We start from the raw sequence: 20,111 nt of genomic DNA on the forward strand, positions 1-20,111 counted from the left end.
GAGATATTTGCATGACTAAAAAGGAGGCAAGTGCTGATAGCCAAGACAATAAGGAAAAAGCTACGAAGGCATTACAGCGATCTAAGAGGCAGCCTAGGAGGACTGAATGGTTTCCTCAGCGAGGCCAAGGGCCCCACTGCCCTGTGTGGCCACAGGATACTGCTCCCCACATCCCGGCTGCTCTAGCTCCAGCTGTGGCTCAAAGGAGCCCAGGCACAGCTTGGACTTCCACTTTGCCTAATGCACATCATAAGCCTTGGCATCTTCCACGTGGTATTAAGCCTACAGGTGCACAGAGTGCAAGAGTGGTGGATTCCTGGCAGCCTCTGCCTAGGTATCAGAGGATGTATGGAAAACCCTGGGGGTCCAGGCAAGGCAGAGCCCTCATAGAGAACCTCTACCAAAGTAGGGCAGAGGGGAAATGTGTGATTGGAGGCCCGACACAGTCTCTACTGAGGCACTACCTAGTAGAGCTAAGAGAAGGGTACCACGGTCCTCCAGACTCAAGAATTGTAGATCCACTGGCAGCTTGCACCTTGCATCCAAAAAAGCTACAGACACTCAACTCCAGCCCATGAGAGCAACCTCTGGGGATAAACCCGGTAAAGCTACAGCAGTGGAGTTTTCCCAGACCTTGGAAGTCCAACCCTTACAGCATTGTACCCTGGAGTCAAAGGAGATTATTTTGGAGCTTTAAGATTTAATGACTTCCTTGCTGGGTTTTGAATTTGCATGGGGATTGTAGCCCCTTTCATTTGGCTGATTTCTCCCTTTTGGAATTGTAGTGTTTACCCAGTTCTGATACTTTCATTGTATCTTAGAAGTAAATAACTTGTTTCTGATTTTACAGACACATAGGTGGAAGGGACTTGCCTTATCTCAGATGAGACTTTGGACTTTTGAGTTAATTCTGAAATGAGTTAAGACTTTAGGGGACTGTTGGGAAGGCATGATTATATTTTACAATGTGAGAAGGACATGATATTTGGGAGGGGGCAGGGGTGGATAAATATCTAAATACAACTTGGTTATTTGTTCCTGCCCGAGTCTCATGTTGAATTTTAATCCCCAATGCTGAAGGTGAGGTATGGTGGGAGGTGTTTGACTTATGGGGTGGATCCCTGATAGCTTGATGCTGTCTTTTCAATAGTGAGTTCTCATGAGATCTGGTGGTTTAAAAGTGTGTGGCATCTGCCCCCTCTCTCTCACTTGCTTCTTTTTTTTACCTTGTGACATGTCTGCTCCCTAATTGCCTTTTACGATGATTGTAAGCTTCCTAAGGTCTCTCTAGAAGCTGAGAAGATGCCAGCACCATACTTTCTGTAAAGCCTGTAGAACCAGGAGCCAGTTAAACCTCTTTTATTTATAAATTGTCCAGTCTCGGTTATTTATTTATAGCAATGCAAGAATGGCCTAATACAGTCTTCCTTTGAGAAGTGTCTGTTTATGTCCTTTGCGCGTGTTTTAATGTGGTTGTTTTTTGTTTGTTGAATTGTTTAAAAATTCCTTATAGATTCTGTATTTTAGACCTTTGTCAGATGTATAGTTTGGGAATATTTTCTCCTATTCTATAGGTTGTCTGTTTACTCTGTTGATAGTTTCTTTTGCTTTACAGAAGCTCTTTAGTTTAATTAGGTCCCACTTGTCAATTTTTGTTGTTGTTGTTGTTGCAATTGCTTTTGGGGACTTAGTCATAAATTTTTTGACAAGGCTGATATCCAGCATGGTGGTCCCTAGGTTTTCTCCTGGATTTTTATAGTTTTAGATGCTACATTTAGATCTAATCCATCTTGAGTTAGTTTTTGTATATGGTGAAAAGTAAAGGTCCGGTTTTATTCTGGATGTGGATAGCCAGTTATCCCAGCACCATTTATTGAATAGGGAGCCCTTTCCACATTGCTTGCTTCTTAAAAAATTTGTTAAATATTAGATAATTGTACGTGTATGGCTTTATTTCTGAGTTCTGTATCCCAGGGGTTCCCATCTTCCAGGTTATGGACCAGTAGCGGTCCATGGCCTGTTAGAATCCAGGCCTCACAGCAGAAGATGAGTGGTAGGCAAGTGAGTGAATCTTTGTCTGTATTTACAATGGCTCACTGCTGTTTGCATTACTGCCTGAGCTCCACCACCTGTCAGTTCATCAGCAGCATTAGATTCTCATAGGAGCGTGAATCCTATTGTGAACTGAGCATGCAAGGGATCTAGGTTGCACACTCCTTACGATAATCTGGGGAGTAGCTGCAAATACAGATTAACATTTGCAGAGAGTTTTGACTGCACAGAGATCATAACAAATCAGTTGCTTACAGAATCATATAAAAACCCCATCAGTGAGTGGCAAGTAACAATCAAACTGCATTTGGTGGCAGGCTTTATGGTGTCAAGAGAGTTGATGTACTTCAATTATACAGCTGCAACTTATGGCAGATTTTTAGTCAGAATCCAACACTTATTTTAGTCTGTGTGTGGCCCACTCATTATTTTATTTATCATTTCCATCCACACCTCTTTCCTGCACTGTGCACTTGCCTCAGTCACAGTTTTTGTAAGCCCACAAGATAACCTCAGCCAAAATGAGTAAAAGCCAAACATCACCGGAGAGTTTATTTGAAAACCGTGAAAGACTCTTCAAATGATGAGACATCAGAAGACTCTGTAAGACTGCCAACAAAAGGAAAGTTGCATCTAAAAGAAAATATCAAGATTTCCACTTAAATCACGAGTTCATTGCAACAAATGATTCACATTCTCCAAGTCCATTTTGTATAATATTTGGCATCTGGCTATACAATGAACCCATGAAACCTTCAAAACTTCTTTGTCACATGGAGACCAAGCACCCTGCACTAACCTTTGGTGTTTGTCAAAAGGAAAAACATGTAGAACAGAAGCAGTTATTGAAGGCCACCACTTTATCAAACGTGCCTGCGCCGACGGCATCATTCTTAGAGACTAACCACATCGCTAAAGCAAAGAAGTCCTTTGCTATTGATGAAGAGTTAATCCTGCCTGCTGCTAATGACATTTGTCATGAAGTTTTAAGAGAGGCTGCAGTTTAAAAGATGACACATGTTCCTCTTTTGGCTAGCACCATAACCAGACAATTAGATGAAATAGCAGAGGATACTGAGAAGTAATTGTTGGAGAGGATTAATGAGTCACCATGGTACACAATCCAGGTTGATGAGTCTACTAATGTTGACAACAAGGTAACAATACTTGTCTTTATGCGATATATTTTTCAGGAGGGTGTGCATGAGGATATGTTATGTACACTTTTGTTGTCAACCAACACAACAGCTGCAGAACTATTCAAGTATTTGAATAATTACATCTCAGGAGAATGGAATTGATCATTTTGTGTCAGTATATGCACAAATGGAGCAGCTACCATGACTGGACAGCTTTCTGGTTTCACTACTCAGGTCAAAGAGGTTGCTTCTGAATGGAAGTTATGCATGGTGGCATCCTTAAAGAAATGCTGGCTAGCTCAAAAATGTCACTTGAAATTAATGTTTTGCAGGATATGACTAAAATTGTCAACCACATTAAAGTGCATGCCCTTAACTCACATCTGTTTGCACACGTACGTGAGAAGATGGATGCAGAGCATGCATGTCTTCTCTTATACAGAGAAGTGAGATGGCTTTCTAAAGGTAGATCACTGGCCAGAGTTTTTGAGCTATAAGAGCCACTCCAAAGATTTATTTTAGAAAACACCCACCACTGGCAGCACATTTCAGTAACACAAAAAGTGTCCTCACATTTGCTTACTTCTATGACATATGACACCTCAACAAACTCAACCTGTCACTTCAGAAGAGAACAATAATTGTGTTCAAGTCGGCAGATAAAGTGACTGCATTCAAAGCCAAACTGGAATTTTGGATGCAACAAGTGAACACAGAGATTTTTTATATGATTCAGACAGTAGCAGAGATTTTTGAAAGAGACTGAGCCAAGGCCTCCTTTCTCCGAGCTGCTGCATCATTGCCTATCTCAGCTTTCAAAAGAGTTTGAGCATTATTTCCCAACCACAAAAGACCCCTGAACTGAGAAGGAATGGATCTGTGACCATTTGTGAATAAGCCAGGTGAATTGACTTTGGCCAGGCTAGAAGAGGATCAACTGCTTGAGACTGCAAATGATGGTGGCCTTAAAAGTACATTTGAGACAACTTCAAATCTCCATACATTCTGAATTAAAGTCAAAGCTAGATATCCTGAGTTTGCCAGAAAAGCGCTGGAAAGCCTGCTTCAATTTGCAGCATTTAATCTTTGTGAAACAGGGCTTTCTGGAGAGATAGCAACCAAAATGAGATTACTTTGTAGACTGGACATAAGCAACACACTTTGCATGTCACTGTCTTCCATCACCAACAAATGGGGCCATCTATTTGCAGGAAAGCAAGCTCAGGGCTCCCACTGATTCTACTTTGTGGTGAGTTGTATAATTATTTTATTATATACTAAAATGTAATAATAATAAAAATAAATTTCACAATAAAGGCAATTTGCTTGAATAATCCAGAAACCATCACCATGAAACCGGTCACTGGTGCCAGAGAGGTTGGAGACCACTGCTATATCCTGTCCCATTGGTCTATTTGTTTTTGTACCAATACCATGCTATTTTGGTTACTATAGTCTTATAGCATAGTTTGAAGTCTGGTAGTGTGATACCTCTGACTTTCTTCTTTTTGCTTAGGATTTTCTTGTCTATATGGTCTTTTTTATGTTCCATATTAATTTTAGAATAGTTTTTTTTCTAATTCTATAAAAAATGATGTTGGTAGTTTGGTAGAAATAGTGTTATATCTGTAAACTCCTTTGGGCAGTATGGCCATGTTAATGATGTTGCTTCCTTTAATCCATGAGCATGGAATGTTTTTCCATTGTATTATCTCTGATTTCTTTCAGTGGTGCTTTGTAGTTCTCTTTGTAGAGATCTTTCACATTCTGGTTAGATATATTGCTAGGTGTGTACGTGTGTGTTTGTGTGTGTATGTCTATTGTAAATGGATTTGTATTCTTGATAGGGCTCTCAGCTTCAATATTACTGGTGTATAGAAATGCTACTGATTTTTCTACATTGATTTTGTATCCTGAAACTTTACTGAAGTCATTTATCAAATCGAGGAGCCTCTGGGCAGAGTCTTTAGGATTTTCTAGATGTAGAATCACATCATCAGAAAGTGAGGTATTTTACTTCTTTTTGTGTGTGTGTGCCTTTTATTTCTTTCTCTTGCCTGATTGCTCTGACTAGAACTTCCAGTACTGTGTTGAATAGGAGTGGTGATAGTGGACATCCTTGTCTTGTTCCAGTTCTCAAGGAGAATGCTTCCAGCTTTTGCCCATTCATTATAATCTTGGTTGTGTCTTTGCCATATAGGGCTCTAATTATTTTGAGTTATGTTCTTTAAGTGCCTAGTTTGTTGAGAGTTTTTATCATTAACGGATGTTGGATTTTATCAAAAGCTTTTTCTGTGTCTATTGAGAGGATCATATGATTTTTGTTTTTAATTCTGCTTATGTGGTGAATTACATTTATTGATTTGCATGTATTAAAACAGTCTGGCATCCCAGTAATAAAGTGTACTTGATTGTGGTGAGTTACCTTTTTTTATGTGCTGCTAGATTTGGTTTGCTAGTATTTTGTTGAGGATTTTTGCATCTAGGTTCATCAGGGATATTGACTTGTAGTTTCCTTTTTCTGTTGTTGTTCTGTCACTGCCAGATTTTGGTATTAGAGTGATGCTGGCTTCATAAAGCTTTGCATCATGCATGAGGTATGGGGGAGTCCCTACTCCTCACATTTTTTTGTGGAATAGCTTAAGTAGATCTGGTGCCAGCTCTTCCTGGTACTGTATAATTCAGCTTTGAATCCATCTGGTCCAGGGCTCTTTTTGGTTAGTTAGTTTAGTTTTTCTTTTTTTTAAAATTACTAATTCAATTTCAGAACTCCATATTGGTCTGTTCAGGGTTTCTGTTTCTTCCTGACTTACTCTTGCAAGGTTGTGTGTTTCCAAGAATTTATCTACTTCCTGTATATTTTCTTGTTTGTGTGAATAGATGTGAATAGAATTATTTATACTACTCTCTGAGGATATTTTGTATTTCTGTGGGATTGGTTGTAGTACCAGCTTTGTTGTTTCTCAAGACACTTATTTGGATCTTCTCTCATTTTTTCTTGTTAATCTAGCTAGTAGTCTATTTATCTTGTTTATCCTTTCAAAGAAAGAGCTTTCAATTTTGTTTATTCTTTGTGTGGATTTTTAGGTCTAAATTATGTTTGGTTCTGTGGTGATTTTAGTTATTTCTTTTGTTCCACTAGTTTTGGGGTTAGTTTGTTCTTGGTATTCTAGTTCCAGTAGGCATGATGTTAAATTGTTAATTTGAGATTTTTCTAACTTCTTGATGTAGGCATTTAGTGCTATAAACTTTCCTCTTAACACTGTTGTAGCTGTTTCCCAGAGATTTTGGTATATTGTATATCCTTTTTCATTTGTTTCAAATAATTTGTAAATTTCTGCCTTAATTTTGTTGTTTAACCAAAAGGCATTCAGAAGCCAGTTGATTTCCCTGTAGTTGTGTGGGTTTTGAGAGACCATCTTGATGTTGATTTGTATTTTTATGCTACTCTGGTCTGAAAGTATGATTGGTATGATTTCTGTGTGTTTTAATTCATTCAGACATGCTTTGGGCTGAGTATGAATTTGACCTTAGCATATGTTCTGTGTGTAGATGAGAAGAATGTATATTCTGTGGTTTATGGGTAGAGCATTCTGTAGACACCTATTAGTTCCAGTTGCTCAAGTGTCAAATTTAAGTCTAGAATTTCTTTGTTGGTTTTCTGCTTAAGTGATGATCTGTCTAATGCTATCCATGGGAAGTTGAAGTCCTCCATGATTACTGTGTGGCTAAGTCTTTTTGTAGGTCTAGAAGTACTCTTTTTATTAATTTAGGAGCTCCAATGTTGGATCTGTATGTATTTAGGGTAATTATGTCATCTTGTTGGATTAAACCGTTTATCATTATGCAATGCCCTTCTTTGTCCTTTTGAACTGTTGTTGGTTTAAAGCATAGTTTATCTGACATATGTATAGCAACTCCTGCTCTTCTATGTTTTCTCTTGCATGATAGACGTTTCATGAACCCTTTACTTTGAGCCTATATGTTTTGTTAAATGTGAGGTAGACCTCTTGAAGACAGCAGACAGATGGGTCTTGTTTTTTATTCAGCTTCTCAATTTGTGCCTTTTAAGGGGGCATTGTATTAGTTTATTCTCACACTGCTATAAAGAACAACCTGAGACTGGGTAATATATAAAGAAATGAGGTTTAATTGACTCACCTTTCTGCATGCTTAACAGGAAGTATGACCGGGAGGCCCCAGGGAACTTAGAATCATGACAGAAGCTGAAGGGGAAACAAAGCACCTTCTTCACATGGTGGCAGGAGAGAGAGAAATAGCAGGGGGAACTGCCACACACTTTTAAACTCATCATTTACATTAGGTATATCTCCAGTGCCCTCCCCCCTCACCCCACCCTACCACAGGCCCCAGTGTGTGATGTTCCCCCCGCTGTGTCCAAGTGTTCTCATTGTTCAATTCCAACCTATGAGTGAGAACATGCGGTGTTTGGTTTTCTGTCCTTGCGATAGTTTGCTCAGAATGATGGTTTCCAGCTTCATCCATGTCCCTACAAAGGACATGAACTCATCCTTTTTTATGGCTACATAATTTTAACGAACAGAGTAACACCTACAGAAAAAAATGCATAGTCTAGTATCTAATTTAAAGAACATTTTCTAGATTTTTAATATCTTCCATGAAACTTTACACACTTCCTCAGCATCTTTTTCTCATGCTAACTCCTGATGGCTGATTTAAGCAACCTTCTCAGTTTTTTCCTTATGACCACTGAGTTACAGTTTCGAAGGCTCATCTAATATTTTGTAGATAGTATCATACTGATTTTAAGTTTATCTGGTCAAAGAGGAGGTCCCTCATGACAATATTGAAATACCTGAAGAATATGCTACTAATTCATTGGTTCTGTATTCAAATGGTAGGAAAATGACATTCTAATACTATACATGCAACCTGAAGCAAGGATTCAAAGTTCAAAGGCTCTGGAATGAGTTAAAAACTATTCTTTTAAGAAAAAAGTCGTTATATCTCTCCCTTGTTTTGTTCTTATTTGAATATAAAGCATTCATTCCCAGTGTATGCCTTTTAGTACTTTGTGCAATTTTTAATTGATAGATAATTATGTCATTCAAAAATATGTCACCCAGATGCCAGTTTAAATAATAACACAGTTTACAAGATATGTTTCACCAGGAATTTGGACTAAGTCCTCACTTGTAATTAATGATAGTGAGAAATACAAAGGTGCAATTATTTAGAAAAAAAATGGAAACTTTCTTCTAGAGTCTGGAAGACTGTATGACACAGGTGATCTTATAACTTTTTTCTTCTAGGTGGTTTAGAATCTTTGAAAAATCTTCAACAACTAATTTTGGACCACAATCAGTTAATTAATACAAAAGGTCTTTGTGATACACCTACCATTGTATACCTAGATTGCTCCCATAATCATCTTACTGATGTAGAGGGCGTTGAAAATTGTGGATTGCTCCAAATATTGAAGTTACAGGGAAATTATCTGAGTGAGGTAATTGCTTTGAATTAATTGATTTCTGTGATAAAGCAACACTTTTCTTTTGATAGAAATACCAATCACATATTAAAAGCAATTTTGAATAATTATTTTGTTCATTTTTCACCATGAAGTAACCTTTATCAAGAATATTAAATATTATACAGTTAATTAATAGAAATTTTATTCATATTTAAAAAGTCTTATACCTTATGATATGCACTTTATCAGAATCTATCTGTTGTTAGTTTTGGAAGGTTGTGTATTTTTTAATTGGGCTAAATGATAAAATATTTTGCTTAATATAAACTAATGAACCAAATTTAAATATAGCTTCCATCCTTGGAGAATCTTGTTTTACTAAGAGAATTGCACTTGGATGATAACAGCATTTCAACTGTGGAAGCATTTTCTTCATACTGGCTGCCTTTACTACAAAATATTACTATCTCTCAAAACAGGTAAAAGCATACTTAAGAAATAAATTCAGTGAATGATTGTTTAAAATAAATATGTGATGTTCATAAACTACCATAAAAGTTAGATTTCTCTAATAATTCAATGAGATTGCATCAAAATAAATTAGTATATAAATTATAAAAATAACATTATAGAATTTTTAAAAATTAAGATGAATTATTGGCATACCCTAAAATTTTAGTAGAATTTTAATTGTCCATTTATCTTTCTAATTTTATTTCTTCTCAAAGATGCACTTGTATAAATCTCTCAGGGAAGATTTGTTTATGTTTATACGGAGCATAGTCCTTGGAAAATACAGGAGGTAGTTAATTTAATTCAGAAGGATGTCTCATTCTCTCAAATGGTACTTATTAAGTCCTGGAAGGACAATTTTTACTCTGCTCTCAACTTGCTTGTCTTTTTGAAACTGTTAGGATGGATTTAAATTTGTTTTCCCTAAGGATATAAAGTAACACTTAAAAAAATACCTTAACATTCAATTGAAATGGGTACCTGCCTCAGAAGATCTATTTGAAACCACCAAACATCTGGATCTTTGCTGAGAATAACTGGCTAAACCAAAGCAGGAGCACAATATGTGTATTTCTCCTCTGCTTAATATTTCATTGTAATCCATTCACTATAATATGATTAATTTCTTCATCAAAGGCACAAGGAGTAGGGGAAAGAAACCACCTTTAACAATAAATTGTTTCTTTAAGTTATACAATGCTCACAAAACACACGAATAAGGACAATATCATTTTTACATATATACCTATTTTCCCCCAAGACATATAAAATCATCTCTCAATCTCTTCCACAACAGTGTTCATCTTTTAAGCAGGCATATACTAAATGACTTAACTTCCACCTATTACAATTTGACATTGAAAAACAAATATGTATTCAAAAAATCCCCTCAAATTACTTTAATCCAATGTAAAATTTAAAATTTGACTTGAATTTAAAAGGACATTTGTTCCCAGAGCCAGCTCCATCAGATAATACTGTGTAAGTAATTTGGGCAATTCACAAACTCCTTGGATCTTTTCAGAATATTTTCCAGGTACAGAGTATACTTTCAAAATGAAATATTCAGCTATGTTTTGGACATACGCAGTAAGTCACGGAGGAATTGAGATACCTAACGTATTTTATAAAAGTGGACCTCAAGCCACATTAATAAGCATAAAATATTTAAAGAGATTATAAAGAAAATCAAGAAATTTTTTGACAAGTAATGCCTTTAATTTATTTGGGCAATTTAAGTTATCAAAGATAGTCTATTTCTAAAAATTAAATTTAATACTAGCTGATAGACTTTTGCTCTATCAGTATGATATGACATATGCATATCAAGCTGATAAAATGGGAATTATATAAACTAGAGAATTAAATATTTTTTAGAACTGAGCATGATAATTGGAATGATTAATACAAATGTTTTCTATTTATAATTTTGTTTGCATAATCTTATAACGTTTGACTATTGAGATGGGGTTTGCTATTTGGGGGATAAAAAAATGAGTAATGTATGTTCTTACACCCACAGAGCATTTTGGCATAAAAGAACTTAATTTTTAAAACTCATCTATACCAAAAAGTAAAATTATTGTATAATATATGTGATTTTGACATTTCAAATAATACTGTCACTGATACTGGAATGTATTTCTTTTGAGTCTGTCAGAGCTCTTTGTACCTGTAACCTTCTGCCATTATTGAGAGGATGAAGGGAGAAGGCCCAAGAGCACCAGGGAAATGTCATTGATAGCAAAGGACATATGGAATACTAAAATGATTTTGTAATGTCATAGTGTAAAGATAATCTTCAACCTTAGAATATTTCACAAGTTTATTTTCATTGACTGTAGAAATTATCTATTTTAATTTATTTTAATTTATGCTCTTACATGTGAAATGACTTTTTAAAAAACCATATTAGGTTTGATAAAACCAAATCTATGTTTAAATATTGAACCTACAACTTGGTCAGTAGATGTTGAGCAATTCTGCTCTCTGACCCTCAGTTTTTTCTCACAAGTATAAAAGTGGTAATGCCTATCTTACCTAGTTTATGGGATTTTAATGATGATCCAAGAGGAAAGGGAGAATAATTTTATAATGTGATATTTGGATTTGTGTTTGGTATGGATTTTAAATTATATATACTTTTCCTTTAATTTTTGATATTTTCATCACAAAGAAGATATTATGTGTCCATATGCTTTTTTTCCCAACAAATGGAATACATATAAAGAATGATACTTAGTACATATTGTTTGAAATACTTGTTTCATCCTGATTTCTGTTTTAAATTTTCAGTAAGACATGTGACTGTTTTAAGTTTGACTTAGTGGAGTTCTAACTGGATGACTCTCTGGCTTTATAAGCCTTTTTACTTCCAGTGAGACTCTAAGTAGGAGCACAAAGTGGAAACTATTACCCATTGGCTGTTCATTGTACAAATCTTTTGCTTTTTGTCGTCTTTGAAATTTATATCTTTTTAATGCCCAGGGCTAATGTGACAAGGTCAAATGGTTTTAGGTTTTCACTAATGTCCTTTGTCTTTCTGGTTTGAATTTTCTTGGAAATAATATGCACAGAATGTCGGTAAAAGGAAAAGTTCTAGAGGTTTTTTAAAAAAGGATTATACTATTAAGTTTCTACCATCCTAATGAATAGTTATAAAGGTGAATGAGTAGCCAGTTTTCTTGATTAAAATTTCAGAAGAAGAAAACAAACATGATATTAACAGCACGGTTATCTGAAAAGATTACTTTCAATATTACAAAAAGATTTTTTCAAAGCGTATATTTCTTCACTTTGATTGATTTTTGCAAAGATTTATTGATTTTTGATTCTAAAAAAAATTGTTGGTTATTTGCATTTGAGGTCTTTTTATAACCTATATGTTACCGTATAACTTACTGGCTAAAAACATGAGATACTCTGAAAAAAGAAAAAAAGTTGTATTCTGAATGGTTTAATATGCCATTACTATTAATATTTCAAAATCCTTTCACTGGAAGGGTGAAGAGTTAGTATTAGAAATATATTAAGGGTAGAGCACAGAAACAATTTTCTTTTTAATAAGTACATTTATTAAAATTTTATTTTTACTTGAATTATATTTATATATATATTGCATGTAACAATTATACAGAACGTGCTTGAATAGGAAATGTCATAAAATTGAGACTTAAACCCACTAATTATGTAAAGGTAAAGCCTGAATTTCCTCTATCCCTCCATGTCTTCCCACCCCACTTCCCTTCCCTTCCCTTGACTTTTTTTTCCTTTTCTTTACTTCAATATCAATGTGAAATTTCAGTAAATTTCACTGTTATGGAGTATATGTACAAATAATTCAGTGTATGTAATGGCCAATACATTCTCACTTTTATTACCTTGGATATTTTTCTCCTGGAAATTGCTTTTAAGAAGTGGGATCTTATATGTTTAATATGAATGTAATATTGTATTTAGGATTGGCAACATGCAGAGAAATGTTCTCCCAGCCTCATTATATCATCTACTTTTTCATCAGTAGTGTATCTTCTTTCTCTCTGCTAATGCTGAAAGGGATAGTACAAGGGAAGAGTGAAGGTCAATACAAGGGTTAATCTTCTGCCACACCCCATGAGGCTTCCACTCACAGGGTTACTCTGTGAGCTTCTGACCTGAGAATATAAAAATAAGAGATTTTGTTGTTGTTGTTGTTGGTGGTGGTGTTTTCTATGGCAGTGAGTTTGTAGAAATAAAGAGGTAAAGGACCCTTCCAGGACAACTGGAGGGAGAGTATAAAAAACACGAAAGCAATAAAAGTGAAAATTAATGCATACTTATTTATTTTGTAACAGAGATAGACCTTGAGCCAAAGCATATTTTGAACAGCTATGGAATTATAGTGGGAATTAATTCAGAAGGCTTTTCTAATTGTGGCAAAAAAAAAAAAAAAATATATATATATATATATATATATATATTTTACTAAGGAGTTTTTATCTTGCTTAAAGATTCAGATGAGCTGGCTTCATTTAATTTCCAAATAGCTACAGGTAATGTGATATTATGTTACACAGTAAGTGTAGACTTGTCCTAGTTGGAAATGCAAATCAAAGTAGAGTTAATTTACCCTTTATAGCTTTTGTTTCCAATGACGTGGGTATTTTTAATATCACTATTTTTGTTTGAATATGGGTTTTCGATAACAATTATAACTTAGAAGACAATAAAAACCTTTAAATGGAGGAAAATTAATTATTACTATATTATAATATGCATAATTAATTAGTATTAATTTTAAATATCAGTGTGTTTTGGCCAAGTTTAAGTCCATTCTATTGAGGTAAAACATTTTGTGTTATTCTGTTCTTATACTCATTTATTTACATATTGAGTATATTTCCAATTTAAAAGTAAGCCCAGTTTAATTTTGAATACTTACAGTACTATAATACTTTCAATTAGTAAAGAAAGATTTTTTAAAACAAAACTAGTGATTAGTTAGTTCTCCTGTTGAAAAGTAGTAATTTCTCCTGTTGAAAAGTGATTTTTCATTTGTACCTTAAAAGTTTTGGTTATGTGTTTTAGGCAGGGAGAAAAATAAATAAAAAATGTAAATTCTTTGTAAATTTGGCCTTATATGAATACAAAACAAAATAATCAGAAGAAAACACACTTATTCTTATTTAAATAGCGAATACACATGAAAATCCATGATTTTTGTGATTGAAATTAGTAATTTCAGGATTTCTTTTACAAAATGAATAGAAGTCTTCCATCATAAATACGTAGAAGTCTATAATTACTGCATTTGTAAAAAGCACTGTTAGCAAGTGCTATAATTTTATTGTACAATTATAATTGTATATATAAAATTGTATAAAATGTGTATAATTATATAATTGTATTATAAAAATGTATTGTTATATAGTTACAATGGTAACATTAAGGACTTTCCAATTTAGAATTTTGATGAAGTTTTTGTTTTTGTTTTCAGCTTGACTAAAATCGTACCACTTTTTCATTTTGTTTCATTGGAAAAGCTAGATGTCAGCCACAATTGTCTTTCTGGTAAGTTTAGCATAATATATATATTTTAATAATAGACTTTTGACTTTCTGTTTCAAATATGATAAGGGGTTGTTTTAAATGCATAAGTTAATGGCATTTACATATAATAAACCTGTAAAATAAAGCATGCTGAAATAATTCACTTGAAATTTTATTTCCACTTTTACAGTCATATTACTTCCACATCTTTCTGGTAGGCCTAGCCAAAGTCACAGTTATCCTTTTATTTAAAAGTCATACATCTTTTACTTATGAAATATATAGCCTAATGAAGATGAGCAAACAGTATACCTTTCTAACAGGTATAGAGTAGTCACTCATTAAAAATTTATTAAAGAATCATGACTTGAATTGACTCCTTCCTTTCTTCAAAATTTCCTCATTCCCAGTCCCAGTCAGTCCACTCCTAGAGGCAGCCACAGACTGAATTTATCACCACACATTAATTTTGTCTTTATATTAATTGGATCAAACAGTACATTCCTTTTTTTCTACAACTTTCTTTGTGTGATATTAGCATCTGACATTCTACCACTTTATATATTTATTAAATATATTTATTTTTCTGAAGTGTAAGGGATATATGAATATATCACAGTTTGTTTATCCATTCCCCTGTTGAACATACTTTGATTGTTTGTGGTTGGGGGTTTATGAATACAAAGTTCCTATGGTTCTTGTACAAGTATTTTTGCAGGCTTAAGTTTTCTCTTCTCTTGGGTAAATGTGTAAGAGTATAATTGTTGGATAATAGAGTAGGTGTAACTCTAAAAGAAACTGACATACTATTTTCCAAAGTAGTTGGAACATTTTACAACCACACCAGAAATAAGAGTTACAATTGCTCCATTCTTGAGAGCTTTTAATAATTTACTATGTTATCTCATTGTGGTTTTAGTTTGCATTGACCTGATGAATAAAGACGTTGAACTTCTTTACAAGTGTTTATTGGTGATTTTTGCACCCTCTTTTGTTGTGTCTATTCAAGTGTTTCACCATTTTGGAAATGTGACTATTTTTATTTTTCTTATTGATCTATAAAAATGTTTACATATTCTGGACATCATTGTCTTATAAATTTCTAGCCTTTGTTTTACCTATCAATTTTCTAAATGGTATATTTAGATGAGTAGATATTTTTAATTTTTTCGTTATTTTTGTGTGTCCTTTTATAATAAAATTTTCACTCCCAGGTTGAAAAGATAATTTTCTGTGCTTTATTCTAGAAGCTTTTGTACTTTCAGTTTTTTACTGTTAGGCCTATGATCCCTCTCAAATTAATTTTTATGTATGGTGTGAAGTAGAGGTTGAGTTCATTTTTTATATGGATATCGAATTGTTCTAGCCACACTGGTTGAATAACCTTTTTTTTTCATAATCGAATTACTTTGCCACCTTTGTGCAAAAATTGTTTTACATTTTGTTTTCTTTGGGATATGTTTCCATTGATTGCTTTTCTCATAACTATGGCTTATGTTTTCCTATTTCTTTGGATGTCTAGTAAATTTTAACTATTTGTTGAACATTGTAGATAATTCTACATTGAACATTGTAGATAGTTCAGTAAGTCAGGGTGTTGTTGTCTTCCTTTAAAGGATGATAAGTTTTATTCTTGCAGGAAGTCAAATTAATTATGAATAATTTTTAAATAATTTTTTTCCTGCCGGGCTTAGTTTTATTCTATTTTAGGACAGGTCATTTTAGTTTTCTTTCTTTCTATTTTTTTTTTTTTTTTTGAGACAGAGTTTCATTCTTGTTTCCCAGGCTGGAGTGCAATAGCATGATCTCAGCTCATTGCAACCTCCATCTCCCGGGTTCAAGTGATTCTCCTGCCTCAGCTTCCCAAGTAGCTAGGATTACAGGCATGCGCCACCATGCCCAGCTAATTTTGTATTTTTAGTAGAGATGGGATTTCTCCATGTTGGTCAGGCTGGTCTCAAACTCCTGACCTCAGGTGGTCTGCCCGCCTCGGCCTCCCAAAGTGCTGGGATTACAGGTGTGAGCCACTGCCTCCGGCCCTATATTGACTTTTTTAAGGTAAAAAGGTCCATGCAATCTATTTTGTTGTATATACAATTTTAACACTTATCCTATTACTTTAGATTTTACTTCTTCAGATTTTGTGCTTACAATCTGTCACAAACTATTCTAAGTCTTTTACACACATTATCTCATTTAATCCTAACCCTATAAGACAGATATGAACCCGAATTGTAAAGCAGATTTGCAAAAGTTCACACAGCTGTTAAATGGTAGAAACATATATTCTGACAATAGTCTGTGTCCTTAACACAGTCTTCTTTAAAAAGCATATAGCATTCTGCAGAAGAAATAAAAATATTGCTTTTCTTTAATAGCAAACCAGTAAATACAGTGGTCATAGATTTATGATATTTGTTCTAAATCTGTGATGATACCTTTCAAAATGATTTTATTTTCTGTAGATCTTAAAAGTGCCATAAAATGGTTTGATGCATGCTATTCTCTCCATGAATTGTCTCTTACTGGAAACCCACTTCTTCAAGAAACAAACTGGAGGTAAAGAGGCATTGTTGCACCCCATGTATATCCATTATTATAGTTGCAGAAAAAAGTTTGATAAAAATTGTCCTGTGAATAACAATTACCTAGGATAAGTTAATTAAAAAATTAAAAGTCATTTTAAACCAAAAAAGTTTTGTAAAAGTAGTTTTAAAAATGTTTTTATTCTAAAATAATTTTCTTGCACATGTGTGAACTAATACAAAATTGAAATTAAAATTGTAATGTAAACCATTAATTATGTGACAAGTTTAGTGTGATATTAACTTGGGTTTTGCATTTATAGAAAATATATTTGTTGAGAATTGCTTTTTTGCCAATAATATAATTACATAGCTTCCTACTTAAATTGTTTCCTTTTTGAGAGTAATTTGGTTTTGTTTTATTTTCCTAATAGAGAAGGATGGTGTCTGTTAAAAAGTTTGTGTTATAAGCATATTTAAATTCTTGCTCCTCTTTGGAATATTGCAATACCTAAATGTAAACCAAGAAAAATATTTTGTAATTTTTAATACATTTTTGTAGAAAAAAGTTTTCTCATTTACACTTCTAATAATATACTAACACGATTTCCCCCAAATTGACCACCATCTTTTTTCAAAAATTAGCTATTTTGTGATAACTTACATAGCATAATTTTTATCATTTTTGTTTATGAATATGAATATTTTGTGAAAAACTGGACATTTTTATCACCTTAAGAAATACCTCATGCTTTTTTGCAATAAGTTCCCTCCCCTAGTATTTTAAAAACATCTCTCCACTCTTTTATGGCTTTCATTGTTTCTGGTGAGAAATGTCTACTGACATTCTTGTCTTTCTTTCTCTAAGAATGATTTTAAGATTTTCTCTTGATCACTGGTATTCAACAATTTGATTACAGTATGTTTTGGTGTGGTTGCATTTAGTTTACTTGGGATTTATCACACTTTTTGGATCTGCCATTTTCATAAAATTTGGAAAATTTATGGCCATTTTTTTTTCAGATTTTTTTGTTCTCCCTTTCACTACCTATTCTGCCCTAGTAGCACTCCAGTTTCAACAATATCAGACCACTTGAATTATCCCAGGAGTTGCTGTTGTTTTCTTTTACTTATTATTATTTATTTCCCTTTCCATGCCTCACTCACTCCGAATAGTTTCTATTGCTTTGTCTTCAAATTCTCTGATATTTTCTGTTTAAGTATCTACTCTGCTTTCAGACTCATCTATTTTTCATTTCTGATTGCAGATATATTTTTCCTCTATATAAATTTGTGTATTTCTTTAACATTTGTAATTTCTCTTCTAATCATGCTCATGCTTTCTGGAACCTTCTGGAACATATGGAAAATAATAATAGCTGTATTAATTTAACTTCCTTATCTGTTCTTTCCATCATCTCTATCATTTGAAGGTCTACTTGTATTGAATTTTTTTTCACTGATTCTGGATCATATTTCTCTGCTTCATTGCATGCCTGGTCAGTATTGGTTGTATTCTGGACATTTTGAATTTTATATTCCCAATGCTTAATTTCATTGTATTACTTTAAATAGCCTCTATTTTATGTTTGGTGTGCAGTGGCTAAGTTACTTGGCACTAATGCGATACTTTCTAAGCTTGCTTTTAAGTTCTGTTAGAATGGTCCAAAGAAATCGTTGGAGTAATGCTAATTTAGCCCTACTACTATGATGACAATTTTCTGAGTATTTTTTCCAGATGTCTCATATAGAGACAGGCTGGTCTCGAACTCCTGGGCTCAAGAAATCCTCCCACCTCAGTCTCCCAAAGTGCTGGGATAACAGATGTGAGCCACTGTGCCCGGTCTTCTATGTATTCTTTTAACTTTGCCTGTGGGAACTAATCTCCTATGTCAGTTCCTATAGTTCTGCCTTCAGTTTCTACTGGTCCTTTCCCCTGAATTTAGATGGCTTTTTCTTACACATCAACAGAAGATTACTGATTTGCCAAGTTTAAGTGAATTACCTCCCAGAATACTGAGAGAATTTGCATATGTCCACTGTGAAATTTTCCACTGTGGAATTGGTGATCATTCTGGCTTACACTTTTGTCTTTTTTTATGCTCAGAACATTCACTTTTGAGATGGTTTCACATTATTTATTGTACATTTGACATTTTTATACTGTCATTTCACTGGTACATCAAGGCAGGATAAGCCAAGCATAAACAAGGCTACAATTTAGGAAAATGAGTTTGCCAATACAAACATGCTAAGTATAGGGGAAGGCACACATTTACTAAAATACATATTAGGTAGCAAAATATGTATTAGGACCATTAGAGTTTAAATCAAATCAGGAAAACTTGTCAATTTGTTCAGGCAGTTAAAATACATTTATGAACAAAACACAAACTAAAAAAAAAATAGCTATAACACCTGATCCTAGGGCAGAAGCTGTTGAATTTTTGCCCTGATTTGGTTTCTCTGCAAGGTGTGGCCATGTCCAGGAAGATCCTGGATCTGACAATTTCAGAGGAGTATAAGATATATTACAGAAGAATTAAATGTCTGGTTATGTTTAAAATTCCCATATCTGACTTAATGTACCTGTAGAACAAGCTATTAGAGTCTGGGGAATAGTCTGTCTTCCCACTCTTGTCTGAGGCTACTGCAAACCTCTGACATTCTTTCTAGGTTAATTTGTTTCCTGGATTTGTTACTTGGTCTTTGGTTAAGAAGGTAGAAGCATTTTTACACTAACTCAAACACCTATGTAATTTACTGCATATTGGTAACTTGTATATCTTAGAAGAGTTATTATCTTGGCCCAGAAAGTCCATTTTTCTTTCTTTTTTCTTTAGAGCCAGGTTTCCAAAAAAGTTTCTAATAGTACAATGTTATTTAGGGAAATCTGGCATGTTTCCACGTTTTAGAAAAAAATTTGTCAACTTCCAGTTTAGAAATGTCTTTTCCAAGTGTACGTTAAGCTGTGCAGCACAGATGAAAGAGTATGACCTAGTACAGTGGTTCTCAAAGGTGTGTCTCTTGACCAGCATCAGTCATCATCACCTGGAAACCCAGCAGAAATGCAGTATTTTTGACACCATCCAAGCCTACTGAATCAGAAACCTAGGAATGGTGTTCAGTAATCTGTACTTTAAGAAGCCCTTTTGATGATTCTGATATATACTAAAGTTTGAAAACCACCATTTTAAAACAAGGATATTCTACCCCTACCCCATACTGTGTGATCCTGGACAAGTAACTTAATTTTCTTTTTTAGATATGTGGTCTTTCTATGTTGCCCAGGATGGCCTTGAACTCCTGGACTTAAGCATTTCCTTTACCAAAGCCTCCTGAGTAGCTGGGACAAGAGGTGTATGCCACCATGTCCAGCTCTAACTTAACTTTTTTATG

General features: G+C 34.0%; 1 protein-coding gene across 22 annotated transcripts in view; it reads left to right on the forward strand.

Moving 5' to 3' along the window:
• LRRIQ1 (leucine rich repeats and IQ motif containing 1) overlaps positions 1-20,111 on the forward strand; it is a 236,455-nt gene that overhangs the window by 53,519 nt on the left and 162,825 nt on the right. For 18 of the 22 annotated variants that reach the window (XR_944764.3, XM_011538819.4, XM_024449222.2 and 15 more), the window contains 4 exons: positions 8,486-8,679; positions 8,998-9,125; positions 14,135-14,208; positions 16,653-16,746. Coding sequence is in view for 18 of the 22 variants with exons in the window: in XM_011538819.4 (XP_011537121.1) it covers positions 8,486-8,679; positions 8,998-9,125; positions 14,135-14,208; positions 16,653-16,746 (490 nt within the window). In the remaining 4 variants the exon portion in view is untranslated. Of the gene's footprint in view, positions 1-7,371; positions 7,516-8,485; positions 8,680-8,997; positions 9,126-12,992; positions 13,078-14,134; positions 14,209-16,652; positions 16,747-20,111 lie in introns of those variants that run through there. The other 4 variants (XR_944765.3, XR_944766.3, XM_011538825.3 and 1 more) reach the window with 3 other exon arrangements.

Source organism: Homo sapiens, chromosome 12 (assembly GCF_000001405.40).
Source record: "Homo sapiens chromosome 12, GRCh38.p14 Primary Assembly".
Taxonomy (NCBI): domain Eukaryota; kingdom Metazoa; phylum Chordata; class Mammalia; order Primates; family Hominidae; genus Homo; species Homo sapiens.